The sequence below is a fragment of the Homo sapiens genome, chromosome 1 (assembly GCF_000001405.40).
Source record: "Homo sapiens chromosome 1, GRCh38.p14 Primary Assembly".
Lineage (NCBI taxonomy): Eukaryota > Metazoa > Chordata > Mammalia > Primates > Hominidae > Homo > Homo sapiens.
Window position 1 is genome coordinate 33,273,515 of NC_000001.11, and position 18,943 is coordinate 33,292,457.

At 47.3% G+C, this 18,943-nt stretch overlaps 1 protein-coding gene across 8 annotated transcripts in view; it reads left to right on the forward strand.

Moving 5' to 3' along the window:
- Nucleotides 1–18,943, forward strand: part of ZNF362 (zinc finger protein 362) — a 173,198-nt gene that overhangs the window by 145,993 nt on the left and 8,262 nt on the right. For 7 of the 8 annotated variants that reach the window (XM_047447108.1, XM_047447107.1, NM_152493.3 and 4 more), the window contains 4 exons: nucleotides 2,586–2,649; nucleotides 2,834–3,080; nucleotides 6,610–6,943; nucleotides 8,073–8,297. In XM_047447108.1, coding sequence (XP_047303064.1) covers nucleotides 2,586–2,649; nucleotides 2,834–3,080; nucleotides 6,610–6,943; nucleotides 8,073–8,297 — 870 coding nt within the window. Of the gene's footprint in view, nucleotides 1–1,699; nucleotides 1,817–2,585; nucleotides 2,650–2,833; nucleotides 3,081–6,609; nucleotides 6,944–8,072; nucleotides 8,298–18,943 lie in introns of all 8 variants that reach the window. The other variant, XM_005270508.6, reaches the window with a different exon arrangement.

Sequence of the window (18,943 nt, forward strand, 5' to 3'; positions counted from 1 at the left end):
ACGGATCTCCCAGAACTGTCTGAGAAGCAGCGAGGTGCAGTGGGCAGAGTCCTGGGCCAGGGCAGGAGTGAGGCAGGGTAGCCTGTTTCACCCCATTTTACAGAGGAGGAAACCTGAGGCTTAGAGAGCTAGCACCCAGCATCACATCACAGTGCTGCTTCCTGTTTCTCATGCATGTGGCCTGAGCAAGGTGCCTCCCTCCTGGTGCCCTTGTTTCTTCCTCCGTGAAATCAGGGTGAAAATTCTTCCTTGCTTGCCATCCTCCTGAGGTTCTGATGAGAATGCCAGTGGGCACAGAAGAGCTTTGTAAACTGTGAGCAGTGCTAGATAATTGTATGGGATTGTCTTTAAAGTCATTCTGATTATTATTACTTCATTTATTCATTCCATTATGCAACTCACATTATTGATAACCTCTGGGCCTGGGTGCTGGGGATACCCAGATGAACAGGACAGGTGTATCCAATTCTCAAGCTCCCTGCCCCCAGCCGTGGAGCCTCCTTACCCTGGCTTTACATCTCGGTCCCCTCCACATTTCCCCCTGTGGACAGTAGCAGGGTTGGGACAGGTCCTGAGACTGCTGTGTGAGCGGGTGCTCACCTGTGGGGTCGCAGCCGTGTCATCCTAAGGTAGGGTTTATTCACAAGCCTGTGGTCAGGATGCGTCATTCCCCTGAATACGTAAGGGACTGATGAGCTGGACTTCAGAGTCAGGCAGATTAGAGTGGGAATCTCAGCTCTCTGCTTACTTGCTGTGTGACCTTGAACAAGTCACTCCACCTCTCTGAATTCAGTTTCCTGAGCTATAAAATGGGAATGATAAGAGTACCTACCTGCCTTTCAGTGTCATTGTGCCTGGCACAAGAGAGGCACTTGGTAACTTGCAGCCTCCTCACCATAATTATTGTTTCGAGTTTGTTCTGGGAAAGGATATGTCCCAGGGGTCTGGAGCATTCAGGGAGAACTCCAGGCAGGAAGTACTTCTTGTGTTGGGCTGTAAGGGATTGGTGGGCAGAGGGAAGAGCATCTTGGTGCCTGTGGATGGAGGAGCAGGGGGGCTGATAGAGGGCAGGAGCTGCCCCAGCCACCTGAGGAGGGTGCTCTGACCCAAACTGGCCCTCAGGCTGGGAGTGAGGGGTAAGGACATTTGCATATAGATATTGAGCCATTTGCATATGGGCATTTGCTCTTCCAAAGACTAGGGTTTGCAAAGCAAATTCCCCAGAGGAACCAGCTTGAGCAAATCTGATTTCTAGTTTTGACTGTGGCACCTTCGCTTTGTGGCCTTGGACAGGTCTCCTCCTTCCCCTCTCTCTGAGCCTCAGTTTCTTCACTGATAAAATGGTATAATAATACCTCTTGTGCCTACTTTCAAGTAAAGATCACAAGAGATAATTCATCTAAAATTTCTTTCTTAAAATATTGAGATTAGATTGTGTCCTTATTGAGGGTTTTCTCCCGAAGCCCTATAGCTACCATTCCAATAGGGGTTTCTCAAGCTCATAGAATCAGGAAAAGAGGTTGAAAGCACTTCATTTTGGTCTTTCCTGTCAAAATAAACAATTTCATTTAAGCAATAATACCAGTTAGGCAAGTGATTTCTGTAAGAGAGAGATACGAGAAACTTGACAGGGAGCAAGACTTAATGGAAACCCTCTGTGAGGCATGGTCCCTGTAAGTCACTTCTTGACTTACTCTAGGGTAGCAGGAAGACAAACCTTCTGGAAGACTGAGATAGCCCTGAAGGCCCATCCTTCATACTGCCCTGGTTGAAAAGGCCTTCTAACCGCACAGGCCTGCCATGGAACTTGCCAGAGGTGAGGGCCACCAGACAGTTTGTCACACACTTTTACCAAAGAGCCGCAGACTGCCCTAGCTTCAGCCTCTTCAGCCCCCTCCATAACCACAGCATTCTCATCCACGTCGTTGTAGGTCAGATGTTGCACGTGACATTGAACAACCACACGTGGCCTGTTTCTTGAAGATAACTTTCCAGAAGTACAATTTCTTGAGTCAAAGGGCAATAATCATTTGGGTCACTGTAAATTGTCCTGCCAAACTGCCCCTCAGAAAGGCTATATCTGGTGACCTCATGTTGCCCCCTGATTTTGAGAAGGATGTCCGTACTCAAGGGGTCAGGGGGCAGAAGAGCAGGGATCAGGGATGGGCATTTACAAATTTGCTGCAGTCCTCCCCAGTTTGTCTCTGGACTTGGGGGGCCTTCTGTATGGAACCTACGGGGTTGGCACAGCAGCCTGGGGCCCTCCTGGGGGATGGAGATTGGTTGGCCAGCACTGGGGTGATAGGGGTGGGAGCTGGTTGAGAGTACTCTGGTCTGGATGTGACCTTTGCCCTATGGGGCCCACTAAGGGGGGGTGGTGGGGGTGTCACTGAATTCCAGGTTTTTCAGCCTGGAGATGTGGCTTCCTGGCCTGGTGGGAGGCCTGCTGTGCTGTGAGGCTGGGGGACCCACGGGGACATGGATCCCAGACACTGGCCCTGACTTGAGTGGGCGCAGCTGAGGGGTGCTCGCCCCAGGCCTTGGGGAGGGCTCTCTTCCCGGTGACAGTCGCTCTCTTCCCGCAGGATGGCCGAGCCTCGATTTAACAACCCCTACTTCTGGCCCCCTCCTCCCACCATGCCCAGCCAGGTAAGACTGACGTCGCCCCTCCGGCTGCCCTACCCTCCTTGGCGCTGCTTCGCTTCCCCTGGGTTTTGGCTGTGGCCTGCGGGGAGCGGGGTGAGGAGCGAGGGGCTCGCGGGTGGACCAGCGGGCCTGGGCAAGGGGCGGGAGGTGGTCCAGACCTCCTCAGCCCGTCCTCTTCTTCCCGCAGCTGGACAACCTGGTTCTGATTAACAAGATCAAGGAGCAGCTGATGGCCGAGAAGATCAGGCCGCCTCACCTGCCGCCCACGTCGGCCTCGTCGCAGCAGCCGTTGCTAGTGCCGCCGGCACCCGCCGAGAGCAGCCAGGCCGTCATGTCGCTGCCCAAGCTGCAGCAGGTGCCGGGGCTGCATCCACAGGCGGTGCCGCAGCCCGACGTGGCGCTGCACGCACGGCCGGCCACCAGCACCGTCACAGGTAGGCCGAGCGGGCGGGGCCGGCGGGGCCGGTGAGGACTGGGCAGGAGGGGGCGGGCGTAGCGGGGGACTTGGTGAGGATGGGACCCGGCTAGGTAAGAGCAGGGCGGGCAGGGCCTAGGGGTAGGGCATAAAGCTTGGAGTGGCGGGGTTGGCCACGACGAGCCACAGCACCGGACTTCCAACGACCCAGTACTGGAAGGACCCTTCTCCCCCCAGTGGACACGACAGGAGCCGGTCACTGCCCCATGGGGCTCACCAGGAAAGTTAGGTTCACATAGAGAACTTTGGAAATCACGAGATTCTTTGGGAATCCAGAGAACGACCCTGACCAGATTTAGGGGGTAAGAGAAGACTTCCTTGGAGGAGCCAAAAGGCGAGGAAAGGTTGGCAGCAAACCAGGGAAATGGGACAGGAAGAGGGAACCGCACAGGCGGAGGGAGTATGTGTGTAGGAAGCAAGAGTAGGACAGACCGTCTGGGGTGGGGAGGCCCGGAAGATGGTGGTGATGACAGCTAGCTCCAGTCGAGCGCCTGTGTCTGTTCACCAGTGTTCATTGTACTCCCAGCAGCCTGTGAGGTGTGTGCTGTTGGTATTAGGTGGAACACTGGACCGTTTTGACTTAGAAAAACAGCAGTTTCATGCAGTTCACCTTAATGTCTCTATTCAACAGATGAGGAAACTGAGGCAGAGAAAGGTAAAGCCACGTGCAACCACGGTTTACAGCTAGTAAGAGGCAGAGGCCGGCAGTGTGGCTCCAGAGCCTGTATCTTCACTCTGTTTTGATGCTGAGTTCTGCTGAGGCTTCGAGGAAGCAGGGACCAGATTAAAAAGGGCCCTGTAGGCCACACAGTGGTTTGGACTTGACCCTTGGGCAGTGGGGAACCACTGAAGGTTTTTAAGTAGGGGAGGAAACACTCAGATACGGGTTGAGAAAACCGAGTCTGGCTGCTAGGTGGAGACCCGGTTGTCAGGGGGTAAGCATGGAAGCAGGGAGACCTTCAGGAGTGTGGTGGCCTGGGCAATGCCGTGGTAGTGGGAATGGAGAGAAGTGGACAGATATGAGATACATTGTGGGAGAAGAGAGGACAGGATGTAGGAGCATGAGGGGAGGGAGGAGGTGAGGGAGACTCCCAGGGCACCGCCCTTGTGATGGAATCCCCGGAGAAAGAACAGGGTTGGGGAAAGATGTGAGCTCAGTCTTGGATAGGTTGAGGCTGGGGTGCCAGGCGGACATCCTGGGATAATGTCAAGGGGCTGGAGCCACCGGAGGCCTCCTCGGAGCTTGGTGGATAGGCTTTCTTGGGAGACCTCAGTGGTTGGGCCTTTGTTCCTCCCCTGTCGCCCCTGCTGCTAGGCAGGTGCTTCTGCCTCTCTCCTTCTCTCCTGCATTTTCCCAGAGTGACCCAAGAATTACAGGGCCTGGTAAACCTCTCCAGGCCCCAGCCGCACTCTGTATGTCCCCTGTTATTATGATTTTATTAAATTTATTTTTTCCATTATAAAAGTAATATTAAAAAGTAATATAAGCATATTAAGGGAAATTTGGAAAAAAGAGAAACTAGCAACAAAAAAATCATTCATAATCCCCAGCTCCCAACTGAGCAGCTCAGAGAGGCTGTTGGTCCATTTCCTTCCTTTGCCATATTTTTGGCTTTTCAATGTTCATGTGTGTTTTGCTGAGCTTGTGGTAGGGCTGTACCCATGATTTTAACTTGCTTTTCCTACTCACCATTCTGTCATAAACATATATGTTCCACTTTTTATTATAAAGGTAATACATAGTCATTATAGAAAATTTGGAAATTGCCGATAAGCTGAAAGGAGAAAAAATAGCCTTAATCCTACTATTGTTAAGAATTTTCATATGTTTATAATTTATTTTATTTTGTCCTTTAATCACAGATGTTAAAAATGGATAAATTCACCAGGTAAAAGATTCAAATAATACAGAATCAGATAGACAAAGTATGAAAATCTCCTTTTACCAAAAAATTATTCTCTTTCCCTAGAGAGAACCACAATTAGCAGTTTGATGTGTCTCCTCTCAGATCTATTCCTGTGCGTTTACATGCACATATATCTTGTCCAAACTACGTATGTAGTTTGAGTGTGTGTTCTTTAAAATAGATGGCCTCGTATGTCTGTGATTTGCTTTTTTCACCTGACAGCTCATTTCGACCTTCTCTCTGTGTCACTGTATCACATCGATCTTGTTTTAGTGGCTGTGCAGTTCTCCCTAATGAGAGTGGACCACAGCTCTTTACAAAGCTCATGCTGAGGACAAACAGGTTGTGTCCAATTTTGTCTGATCACAATTTTGTATGGATATGTACACACATCTTTGTGCTCATGTGGGAATATTTCTTTATTGTAAATTTCTAGAAGTAGAATTGCTTGGCCAAAAGTTGTATACATTAAAATTTATTTAAATTAATTATTTTTTTTAAGAGTAGGGTCTTGTTCTGTTACCCAGGCTGGAGTGCAGTGGTGTGATCATGGCTCACTGAAGCCTCGACCTCTGGGGCTCAAGTGATCCTCCCACCCCAGCCTCCCTAGTAGCTGGGACTACAGGCACACGCCACCACACCCAGCTAATTTTTGTAATTTTTGTAGAGACAGGGTTTTGCCACGTTGCCCAGGCTGGTCTTCAGCTTCTGGGCTCAAGTGATACTCCTACCTCAGCTTCCTAAAGTGCTGGGATTACAAGCGTGAGCCGCCGTGCTTGGCCATGTTTAAATTTTAATGGCTGTTGCCAGACTACCCTTCATTAACATTAAGGCTTCATTAAGGCTTTGCAAATGTACACTCCCACCACCAGTGTATGATATAAAACATTCTCCTGCCAACTTGACATTATCTTTTTCAATGCACAAATTTTTAGTTTTTTTTTTTTTAAAAAAACATAGAACCACACAATAGGTACCATTTTCATGATTTTGTTTGCTTCAGTTGATATTATGTTTCTAGTCCTATCATTTTTAAAAGAATAACTTTTATTACAGAAGTTTTTAAAACGCTCATTGTCAAAGAATCAAGCACAGTTAAGCCTCTTTTTTTTTTTTTATTACTCCTGATCTACTATCCATATCACATTTTGGCACGTTCTTTCCTACTTATTTTTTTGTGTGCATACATACGTAGTTTGCTTAAACAAACATAACCTCCTTTTCAATGGGCAGTTCAGTAGAGGCAATTAATTGCTGTTTACCGAATCCTTCCCTAATGTTGCATATTTCAGTTGCCTCTAAAATTTTGCTGTTATAAATAAGACGGCAGTGAACTTCTTTGTGCCTCAGTATTTTTCTATAGTTTGAATTTTTCCAAAGTGCCCCTGTTATCTAACTCAATTTAATCTTAAGGTGTCTAAGGCATCTTACACATGCACAAGGTCTCATTTAGTTACCCCTGGGTAATAACTTATGAACGTTAAGGGGATGCTCGCCTGCCAAAATCACATAGCTGGGTGGGCAGCTGAGCTGGCCTCTGCAGCTCCGCTCACCCCTGCCCCCACCCACCTGTCTTCGCAGGTCTGGGGCTGTCCACCCGGACCCCGTCTGTGAGCACTTCTGAGTCAAGCGCGGGCGCGGGCACGGGCACGGGTACCAGCACCCCGTCCACACCCACCACCACCAGCCAGAGCCGCCTCATCGCCTCGTCCCCCACCCTCATCTCAGGGATCACCAGCCCCCCTCTCCTGGACTCCATCAAGACAATCCAGGGCCACGGCCTGCTTGGCCCCCCCAAGTCCGAACGCGGCCGCAAAAAGATCAAGGCGGAGAACCCGGGGGGTCCGCCTGTCCTTGTAGTCCCCTATCCCATCCTGGCCTCGGGCGAGACTGCCAAGGAGGGCAAGACGTACAGGTGGGGGTCTTGGCGGGATGGGGTCCGAGTGGGCTTGGGGCTGGGGCTTGAGCCAGGGCTGCTCCAGGAGCCCAGCAGCGGGGCTGAAACAGGACCCTTAGGGCTGAGGGGCAGGGCTAGGGTCCAGAGGGGCGGGGCCTTCTGGAGAGCCCCACCCACATCCCAAGTCCCAGTTCGGGGAGGGCTGCTGGGGAGGGGAATAGAGGCTTGGACCCTTAGGTGTGGTCTGTGGCTGGCAGCCACCCCCACAGCCTGGGGTTGTGAGAGTCGGTTTCCTCCTCCCTTTAAGCAGTGTTCTCAACCCTGGCCACCTTAGAATCACCTGAAGAGGCCGTGCACAATGGCTCATCCCTGTAATCCCAGCGCTTTGGGAGGCCAAGGCGGGTGGATCACCTGCGGTCAGGAGTTTGAGACCAGCCTGGCCAGCATGGTGAAACCTCGTCTCTACAAAAAATACAAAAGTTAGCCGGGCATGGTGGTGCGCCCCTGTAATCCTAGCTACTCAGGAGGCTGAGGCAAGAGAATAACTCGAACTTGGGAGGCAGAGGCTGCAGTGAGCCGAGGTCGGGCCACTGCACTCCAACCTGGGTGACAGGGTGAGACTCTGTCTCAAACAACAACAACAACAACAACAACAATTTTAAAGAATCACCTGAAGAGCTTTCAGAAAATGCGGATGCCAGGGCTGCATCTCCAGGAATTCTGAGTTAATTTTCTGAGGATGGAAAGTATGGAGGGTGGGGCAGGCGTTGGTATTTCTTAGACGCTCCCCAGATGATTCTAATGAGCAGCCTGGTTGAGAACTACTTCACGTGGTAGCGCCTCCTGCCCAGAACCGTGGGATATAGCCCTGGGCAAACCCTCACCAGGATCAGGCCTGTCTTCCCTATGAGGTGTAACCTATGCTCCAGGCTCTGTAATGTTCCCCCAGGCAAGAGCTTCCTCCTCCAGATTTAAGGGTGCCCAGGCTGGGAGACTGTCCCCTGTCTTTCCCAGGTGGTCCTGTGCTTCTTGGGCTCATCACAGGAAAGACCTGTCCCAGGTGCAAGGTCTCTCTGATGTAGAAGGCCTCCCCTGAGATGGACAGTCTGGGGGATCTTCCCACGTGAACCTGTCTCTTGCTCCGCAGGTGTAAGGTATGCCCACTGACCTTTTTCACCAAGTCAGAGATGCAGATCCACTCCAAGTCGCACACAGAGGCCAAGCCCCACAAGTGCCCGCACTGCTCCAAGTCCTTTGCCAACGCCTCCTACCTGGCCCAGCACCTGCGCATCCACCTGGGCGTCAAGCCCTACCACTGCTCCTACTGTGATAAGTCCTTCCGGCAGCTCTCCCACCTCCAGCAGCACACCAGGTGAGTGGCCTGCCTGCTGCCCTGCTGCAGCCCGACTCAGCTCAGCACCCGTGGCCTGGCACATGGAGCCAGTGCAAGGAGGGGCAAGGACCTTCTCCAGGTGCCCATTGCCCTCGGGGTCACGGCCCTTGTGGACCTCACTGGCCTCAGCTGTTGTTACTGCACCCCGTCCCCACTGTTTCTCATCTCTAGGTCTTTGCACATGCTGTGTCCTTTACCAGAGAGACACCCCTCTCCCGCTTTTCCCTGTTTCTCTGGCCATCCCCTTGTCCTCTCTCAGTCTAGCTTCCTCCAGGAAGCCCTCCCTGATTGCTCTAGCTGGGTGAGGGACCCGACCTCTGTGTCCCCACAGGGCTCTGTGCATGTCCATCATAGCAGTGGTAGGCTGTCACGCCCGTGTCTCTTTATCTGCCCACCTCACTCAATCTACTGGGAGTTCTTGAAGGCAAGAGCTCAGTCTCCTCCATTTCCATATCCCCAGTTTGTGGCACAAAATAAGCAATTATTAAATATTTTGGAATAAATATAACTGGTTTTTACAGAGCATATGATTCATCCATTTAACAAATACTTATAGAAACTTTTACTCTATGCCAGACACTATTCTAGATGTTGAGGATACAGCAAGGAAGAAAACAGACGAAAATCTCTGCCTTCGTGGGGCATACAGTCTAGTTGAGTGTGTGAAAGGGAGACTCAAAGCTATAAATGCTTTAAGAAAAATTTGTGGCTGGGTGCGGTGGCTCACACCTGTAATCCCAGCACTTTAGGAGGCTGAGGCGGGTGGATCACCTGAGGTCAGGAGTTCATGACCAGCCTGGCCAACGTGGCGAAACCCCATCTCTACTAAAAATACAAAAATTAGCTGGGTGTGGTGGTGGGCGTCTGTAATCCCAGCTACTTGGGAGGCTTAGGCAGGAGACTCGCTTGAACCCAGGAGATGGAGGCTGCAGTGAGCCGAGATTGCGCCATTGCACTCCAGCCTGGATGACAAGAGTGAAACTCTGTCTCAAGAGAAAAAAAAAAAAAAAAGTTTGTGCAGGAGGGTATAGACATCAGAAAGACTGGCTCACCAAATAAAAATACCATTGGTATTTTTAAAAACAAGCCAAAGATTACCAAGATTGCAGTCCCTCTGTTCAGAGGGGAAGCAGCACCGTTTTCTCACATGACGATGATCATCTGTGTGAGCATTGTCACGTGTTTGCCAATATCAGCATTGTAAAAGTCAGGGATAAAACTGGTTTTTGTTGTGGAGTTTGTAATTTACAGAAAGAATTCAAGGTTTTTTCTGTTTTGAGGACTAATACTATACAGAAGGGCTCTATTTTTTTGAGACAGAGTCTCACTCTATTGCCCAGGCTGGAGTGCAGTGTCATGATCTCGGATCACTGCAACCTCTGCCTCCTCAGCTTCCCAAGTAGCTGGGATTACAGGCGTGTGCCACCATGAGAAGGGCTCTATTTTTTATTTGCTTTTTTTGTTTTTGTCATTTATTCGTTTATCTCCATTGTCTTTGAATCCTTTATCCCTGGGTGCAAGATGTTTTACCTTGTCTATTTCTCTGACTTTGGGACATGATATGTGGGTATGATAGTAAGAATCAAATGGCAGGCTGGGCTCAGTGGCTCATGCCTGTAATTCTAGCACTTTGGGAGGCTGAGATGGGTTGATCACTTGAACTCAGGAGTTCGAGACCAGCAACATGGCAAAACCCCATTGCTACAGAAAAATACAAAATTAGCTGGGAGTAATGGTGCATGCCTGTAGTCCCGGCTACTTGGGAGGCTGAGGTGGGAGGATCGATTGCTTGAACTCAGGAGGTCGAGGCTTCAGTGAGCTGATGTCACACCACTGCACTCCAGCCTGGGGGACAGAGTGAGACCCTGTCTCAAAAGAAAAAAAATAATAAAAGAATAAAATGGTACAATGGCAGCAGGGCCAGGTGTCAGTCTGTTTTCTCGTTACCATGCCTCCCAAGGCACAAGTCTGACCATGTAAGTTAGTTTCAGCAATTTTCTGATTTTGTTGCTACTTTGATTTTTAAAAAATTTGGCCAGGTTTATGTACAGAGATGTATGTAACAAGGTGTTGATTGATAAAGTCCTCCCAGTTGTATGGTTCTTAAAGAGCATTTGATAGAAAAGCTTGAGAGTTAACTCTGTTAGGAGACTTTGTAAGGCCTCCAGGCCAGAATTGTGTATGTGTGTATGTATGTGAAAAAATTTTATATTATTAGAGATCAGGAACCTAGAACCATCCAATTCACCTCTGCCAGATTGTGCCTATACAACGTGTAATGTGGCGGTTACCCTTTTTTTGGAGAATCTTCGTTTGTCAGTGTTTCTGAACAAGCAGAGATTGATGTCTTTTTATAACCTTAAAGGCTGAAATTCCACAAGCCATAAGCAGGTCCAGTCCGGTTTCCTGGAGGCCCGGGGAGGCCTCATTCCCACTTTTGAAGTGCAGTCCTTGTTTCTTACTCTCAGGCTTGTCATGCCTAATTAAATGAAATTTGTCTTTAACTGTGACATTTCTGGCACAGCCATGGTTACAAATTTGATTTACCCAATTATATCCTGTTAGGAAGGAGGACAGATTCTTACAGATCCTGTTTACAGAACTAATGATCGTAAAAGAAAAGGGTCTCAGCAAAGGTACTTTGAAGAGTTTTTAGCTATTATTCCTAGTAGTTTTGTAGATAAGGCCAATTACATTTGTTGTTTTCAATAGAATGATTATTTGAACATTTCCTTGATGATTTATTATTTCATATCTATGTTAGGTTTTTATAGTCCCCCTCCCACCCTCACCCCCAGAATTCTGAAGAGTTAGTTGGAAGAAGGAAGAAGGCACCATTTTAGGAATATTTTATTCCAGTTTATTGAATACAGCCTCCTAAATTGAGGATTAGCGACAGTAATAAAGAAAAAAAAAGACCTTTAGAAAATTAGAACATTAAGGGTGAAATCAGTTTCATCCAGTCCTGGGGAAAAATTCCTGTTCCTCTGATCCTGGGTTAGTTAGCCTGCTTTCAAAGTTATCTACTTCTGGAGCAAGGACTCTTGGAGCCTACCTTGGCCTCTGGCAGTGTCTGGTCAAGAAGAGGATGTCAACGTGGCAGCCTGTATGCATTTGTCTTTTCTAGCTCAAAGCAGAGGCCTTTAATTAAGCAAGTGTGAGGGTAAAAATCAGACCTGTTGACTAGAACAAATGATTCTGCTTAGTTAATTGTAATAATCAACAATATCACAATGGAGGACAATGGAGTCCTCTATTAAGGTATAATCATGATCAATTTTTCAAATTAAAAACATGGTAGGCTGGCACGGTGGCTCACCCCTGTAATCCCAACACTTTGGGAAGCTGAGACAGGTGGATCACTTGAGGTCAGGAGTTCGAGACCAACCTGGCCAACATGGTCAAACTCCGTCTCTACTAAAAGTACAAAAATTAGCCGAGTGTGGTGGTGCATGCCTGTAGTCCCATCTACTCGGGAGGCTGAGACAGGAGAATCACTTGAACCCGGGAGGCAGAGGTTGCAGTGAGCCGAGATCATGCCACTGCACTGCAGCCTGGGTGACAGAGCAAGACCCCATCTCACCAACAACAAAAAAATGTTATTGGCAGCAAGCGCACTGGCCCATCTTCAGGGTCTTTTAATCCCATAAAGCATTATCACTAATTGTTTAGGGCATTCTAAATCTAGAGACAAAATCTTCTTAAAGAAATGTCTTTGTTGATGCTTGTTATGCCAGCCTCTGTGCATTAGATTAGGTTTTTTTGGTCCATCTTAAAAAGTGCACAAGAACATATTATATGTTATACATATTATATGTTTATGTATGTATAAAATTAACCCAGGGAGGTTGAGTTTCTCTTTTTATTTGCCAACTTTCTTACGCTACAAACTTTGTAGGGCAGCTGTCACTCTAGTGTTTGGCTAATTAAAACCATGGAGAATACATAGGCCGGGTGCCATGGCTCACGCCTGTAATCACAGCACTTTGGGAGGCCAAGGTGGGTGAATCACTTGAGGTCAGGAGTTTGAGACCAGCCTGGTCAACATGGTGAAACCCTGTCTTTACTAAAAATACAAAAATTAGCCAGGTGTGGTGGCGGGTGCCTGTAATTCCAGCTACTTAGGAGGCCAAGGCAGGAGAATCATTTGAACCTGGGAGGCGGAGGTTGCGGTGAGCTGAGATCGCACCACTGCACTCCAGCCTGGGTGACAGAGCAAGACCCTGTCTCAAAAAACAAAAAAACAAAAAACAACAAAAAAAGAAGAATACAAAACCCAATCATTGTAAGCATCCCTCCTTTTGTAAAACAAGGGAGCAAATCTTTGGTGTTGCCCAGCAGCCGTCTGGAAATGCCAAGAGCAATTGTATTTGCATTTGCACCTTGACAATTTTATCTTTCTGAGTGGGGACCTGGATCTGAGAAAGGCGACAGCACAAAGTTGACAGAACAGGCAAGCTAATAAACACAAGAGCAAGTGATAATAATGATGAAGAATTCTGTTTTTTTTTTCCAAGAAGTAGACTTTGTTTAAAAATATTATTTGAGAACATGACCAAAAAAAAAGCAACAAAAAATTAACAGGCCTTTGAAGGAGAGGAGAATATTTTGCCAGAATGTTCTTTGACTCAGGGATTATTCTCCATTCCTGAGGGCACAATTTTTTTTTTCCCTCTCTCTCTCTCTTTTGGACTAATTTGAGTTCATAATGGCAGGAAACCAAACAAACAACAAAAGAGGATTCTATCAACATTTGGAAGACAGTTTATAAGTCACTAGACGCTTGCACATATAATTAAACTGATATGTCCTAACTCAGTGGCAAAGAGGCGAGTGTCCCACATGCCCAGAACTCCCAGGATTCTTTAGACAAACAAACAAACAAAGCCAAAGCTGAAGAAACAACCAGATTCCAGATTCCTTGTCCTCTGCTATTTGACGGAGGCCCTTTCCTACTTATTTGTCCCTTGGCAGAGAACCAGGCATCAGATCATATAATCAAATCCATCTTCCCAATGTTACAGCCACTAATGAAGGGCATAAAAGAAGGTCATGTCCAAAACAGAGCCAGCCCCGGTCAAGCAATAGAGGTAGAGTTAGCAAGAGGGCAAGCAAGATCCACCCTGGGAGTTGAGAAGGTTGTGCTTGGGAGCATGGTCGGAGTGAGGCGGTTGAGTGGCGTTGGAGCATCTTAATTGGCCTGCAGCGTGAAAGGAAGGCACAAGCAAAGTGAGGGACTTGCAAAGTGTTGAACAAGTCCAGGCTTCAGAAGGATCAGCCCTCTACATAATAAACACCACATGGATTTATAGAGAAAATAGAACATTTTCTGTTCTTGTTAGTCTGTTCATGGTAGAAAACCAGCATTGTCTCGTGCAGTTAGTGTATGTGTAAGGGTCGTCTGTACCTGCAGATATCACAGTGTGGGAGTCAGGGCTTGAGACCAGGAGTCTGAGACTGGCCTGGGCAACATGTTGAGACCCATCTCTACAGAAAATTAAAAAGTTAGCCGAGTGTGGTAGCATGTGTTGTAGCTCCAGCTACTCAGGAGACTGAGGTGGGAGGATTCCTTGAACCCAGGAGGTAGAGGCTGCAGTGAGCTGAGATCACGCCACTGCACTGCAGCCTGGGTGACAGAGATCCTATCTAAACAAACAAACAACAAACAAACCAACCATTGTTTTGGGAGGAAGTTAAGTTATAGGAAATGGCTGAAAGTTTTATCTATTTGTGGAACTAGAACTAGACAGAGTGACTCTGGATTTGTCTGTTTATTCAGGGTGCAAAGGGGTTTTGTTTTTGTTTTTCTTTTCCTGACAGAGTGATGTTATGTACATGCCTAATGATCATTGCAGCAGGGGAAAGTGTCCTTTTAGTTTTTTCAAGTCTGATAATAATGCTAATAACAACGACAACTATTCCTTATTAAAGAACTTCTGTGTGCCAGGTCCTGCTTAAGGTGTTTTAATATACAAGGTGTCCATAAAATCCCTGTACAGTGTGAATTTGTTATTTCTTCATAAGAGATAATGAATTTGAAAAATGCCACAGAGGGGGAATCCTCTCAAGGAATGTTTAACCTTCATATATCTATGACCATTGTTTTAGTTAAAAAACACGACATGCCAAAAGCCATATCATGGCTGAGAAATAAAAGTGATAATTCATGAATCCTTAATAATTTTATTGAAACATTGAATACGTTTCCTCTGTTTTCATAAGTTGCTTAACTTAAATAGAAATTAATGTATTAAAAACTAACACTGCAAAAATATTTTATGAACACCCATTAAATTCTTATAGTCTATTATCCCCATTTTAGAGAGGGGGAAACTGAGGCTGAGGGAGGCAGAGTCACCTGCCCCAGGTTACCCGGCTAAGAGGTGGCAGAAGCAAGATTTGAGTGCAGAGCACCAAGAAGCAGCCCAGTTCAGAAAGAAGGAAGGGCTGGGGCATCAGGCTGCAGAAGAAGCACTTGGGGATGGCAGTGCCAGGCAAGAGAGAAGAGCAAGTCTTTGGAGCCCCTGGGTGGGACTGGGACAGTGGGGGGTGAAGTGGGGTAGTCCAGGGCCACTAGCTTCAGCTCAGCTTCCTTGTGCTGCCTAAAGAGGAGTGACCACCAGCCGGGTGCGGTGGTGGCTCATTCCTGTAATCCCAGCACTTTAGGAGGCTGAGGTGAGTGGATTACTTGAGGTCAGGAGTTTGAGACTAGCCTGGCTGACGTGGTCTTGAACCATGGTGGTCTACTAAAAATACAAAAAAATTAGCCGAGCACAGTGGCACAGGCCTGTAGTCCCAGCTACTTGGGAGGCTGAGGCAGGATAATCGCTGAACTGGGGAGGCGGAGGTTGCAGTGAGCTGAGATTGTGCCACTGCACTCCAGCCTCGGCGATAGAGCGAGACTCTGTCTCAAAAAAAAAAAAAAAAAAAGAAGCGTGACCACCTAGAGTCAGGGGTGGACTTCCCATCGCCGCAGATGTGGGAGCTGGGGCTGGGTGCTCCCCTAGTGGGAAGATGCCCTACAGAGAGAGGATTCTGATGTTAGAATTGAGGGCTTAGGCTTGACTTGAAGTTCAGGGACTGAAGACAAGAGCTTTGTGGCTAAAAGAACAGGTAGCCTGGTCCTTCCTTATCCAACAGTTGCTCCCTGAAGCTTTTTCTGAGCCAGCCCCATGCTGGGTGCCATGCACAGGGACACAGGAGCGGGCAGAGGCAGGCCCCTGCCACTGTGACCTAGGAGGATGGCAGATGTGGAAACTTCCTTGAGAGAGGGAAGTAGGAGGTGGAGGTTGCGGGGGATCATCTGGGTTGAGTACAGAGGGGTCCACAGCCCTCCCCAGTCAGAGGAAGAACGACATGAGCAAAGGCTCGAGGCCCGCCGGGAGGCTGCATCTGCATGTGTGTTGGGGGAGGTTGGTAAGATGCTCCTCTCAGGAGCGCAGTGGCAGAGGAGGAGGCCTTAGAAACCAAGGCCAGAATGTGAAGGGCCTTGCAAGCTGGGGAAGGGGATATGGACTCTGTCCTGGAAAAAGAGGGAGACCATGGAGGTTGCCAGACTGGGCTGTGACCAGGTCAGAGCCCTGCAGCTTCAGCCGTGCCGAGGCCTGGCGGAGAGAGGCTGAGGCTGGGAGTCAAGGGGGAGGCCGGGCAGTTGTTGCACGTGCATGGGAGGAGGCCAGAGGGGCAACTTACTGGTCAAGAGGGCTTGGCTGGTTCCTGAGGAAGGAGCTGAATCCACTGGAGGACTGTCGGTCAGTCAGTGAGCAAACCCTCATGAAATACACCCAGAGCATGGAAGTCGCTGATAATGTGGAACCTATTTCTCTTGTCAATGATTGACTTCAGGGAGAAAGAACTTGCTTTCCTTCATTCAGTCTGTGTCTATTTATGGAATCCCCTCTGTGCTGAGCCCATGCCAGGCGCTGGGGTGATGGTGGGGAATGAGCCCAAGGGAGTTCCTCTGAAGGAACACAGTGACCAGACATGGAGAAAATAAGTACCCATGCAGAGACTTCTGGGAAGCCGATGTCTTTGTTTCCTGCGAGGTGGGCCGCAGGGAGCCTGACCTGGTCTAGGGGGTCAGGGAAGGCTGCCCTGATAAAGGGACTTGTATGCTCAGATCAGGAGTTGGGTTTTAGCCAGGTGTTAACTGAGGAACAGGTGTTCCTGGTAGAGGGAACAGCTTGGATAAAGGATTGGAGGTGGGCAAGGGCTCAGTGCTGGAGGAGCTAGTGCAAGGCCACTGTGGCTGGGTGGGTTTTTTTTTATTTTTTTATTTATACTTAAAGTTCTAGGGGACATGTGCAGAACGTGCAGGTTTGTTACATATGTATACATGTGCCATGTTGGTGTGCTGCACCCATTAACTCGTCATTTACATTAGGTATAACCCCACAACAAGCCCCGGTGTGTGATGGTCCCCTTCCTGCATCGAAGTGTTTTCATTGTTCAATTCCCACCTATGAGTGAGAACATGCGGCGTTTGGTTTTTTGTCCTTGCGATAGTTTGCTGAGAATGATGGTTTCCAGCTTCATCCATGTCCCTACAAAGGACATGAACTCATCATTTTTTATGGCTGCATAGTATTCCATGGTGTATATGTGCCACATTTTCTTAATCCAGTCTACCATTGTTGGACATTTGGGTTGGTTCCAAGTCTTTGCTATTGTGAATAGTGCCGCAATAAACATACGTGTGCATGTGTCTTTATAGCAGCAGGATTTATAATCCTTTGGGTATATACCCAGTAATGGGATGGCTGGGTCAAATGGTATTTCTAGTTCTAGATCTCTGAGGAATCGCCACACTGACTTCCACAATGGTTGAACTAGTTTACAGTCCCACCAACAGTGTAAAAGTGTTCCTATTTCTCCATATCCTCTCCAGCACCTGTTGTTTCCTGACTTTTTAATGATTGCCATTCTAACTGGTGTGAGATGGTATCTTATTGTGGTTTCGATTTGCATTTCTCTGATGGCCAGTGATGATGAGCATTTTTTCATATGTCTTTTGGCTGCATAGATGTCTTCTTTTGAGAAGTATCTGTTCATATCCTTTGCCCACTTGTTGATGGGGTTGTTTGTTTTTTTCTTGTAAATTTGTTTGAGTTCTTTGTAGATTCTGGATATTAGCCCTTTGTCAGATGAGTAGATTGCAAAAATTTTCTCCCATTCTGTAGGTTGCCTGTTCACTCTGATGGTAGTTTCTTTTGCTGTGCAGAAACTCTTTAGTTTAATTGGGTCCCGTTTGTCAATTTTGGCTTTTGTTGCCATTGCTTTTGGTGTTTTAGACATGAAGTTCTTGCCCATGCCTATGTCCTGAATGGTAATGCCTAGGTTTTCTTCTAGGGTTTTTATGGTTTTAGGTCTAACATTTAAGTCTTTAATCCATCTTGAATTAATTTTTGTATAAGGTGTAAGGAAGGGATCCAGTTTCAGCTTTCTACATATGGCTAGCCAGTTTTCCCAGCACCATTTGTTAAATAGGGAATCCTTTCCCCATTTCTTGTTTTTGTCAGGTTTGCCAAAGATCAGATAGTTGTAGATGTGTGGCATTATTTCTGAGGGCTCTGTTCTGTTCCATTGGTCTATATCTCTGTTTTGGTACCAGTATCATGCTGTTTTGGTTACTGTAGCCTTGTAGTATAGTTTGAAGTCAGGTAGCGTGATGCTTCCAGCTTCGTTCTTTTGGCTTAGGATTGACTTGGCAATGCAGGCTCTTTTTTGGTTCCATATGAACTTTAAAGTAGTTTTTTCCAATTCTGTGAAGAAAGTCATTGGTAGCTTGATTGGGATGACATTGAATCTATAAATTACCTTGGGCAGTATGGCCATTTTCACGATACTGATTCTTCCTATCCGTGAGCATGGAATGTTCTTGCATTTGTTTGTATCCTCTTTTATTTATTTATTATTGAGCACTGGTTTGTAGTTCTCCTTGAAGAGGTTCTTCACATCCCTTGTAAGTTGAATTCCTAGGTATTTTATTCTCTTTGAAGCAATTGTGAATGGGAGTTCACTCATGATTTGGCTCTCTGTCTGTTATTGGTGTATAAGAATGCTTGTGATTTTTGCATATTGATTTTGTATCCTGAGACTTTGCTGAAGTTGCTTATCAGCTTAAGGAGATTTTGGGCTGAGACGATGGGGTTTTCTAGATATACAGTCATGTCATCTGCAAACAGGGACAATTTGACTTCCTCTTTTCCTAATTGAATACCCTTTATTTCTTTCTCCTGCCTGATTCCCCTGGCCAGAACTTCCAACACTATGTTGAATAGGAGTGGTGAGAGAGGGCATCCCTGTCTTGTGCCAGTTTTCAAAGGGAATGCTTCCAGTTTTTGCCCATTCAGTATGATATTGGCTGTGGGTTTGTCATAAATAGTTCTTATTATTTTGAGATACGTCCCATCAATACCTAATTAATTGAGAGATTTTAGCAACAAGGGCTGTTGAATTTTGTCAAAGGCCTTTTCTGCATCTATTGAGATAATCATGTGGTGTTTGTCGTTGGTTCTGTTTATATGCTGGATTACATTTATTGATTTGCGTATGTTGAACCAGCCTTGCATCCCAGGGATGAAGCCCACTTGATCATGGTGGATAAGCTTTTTGATGTGTGGCTG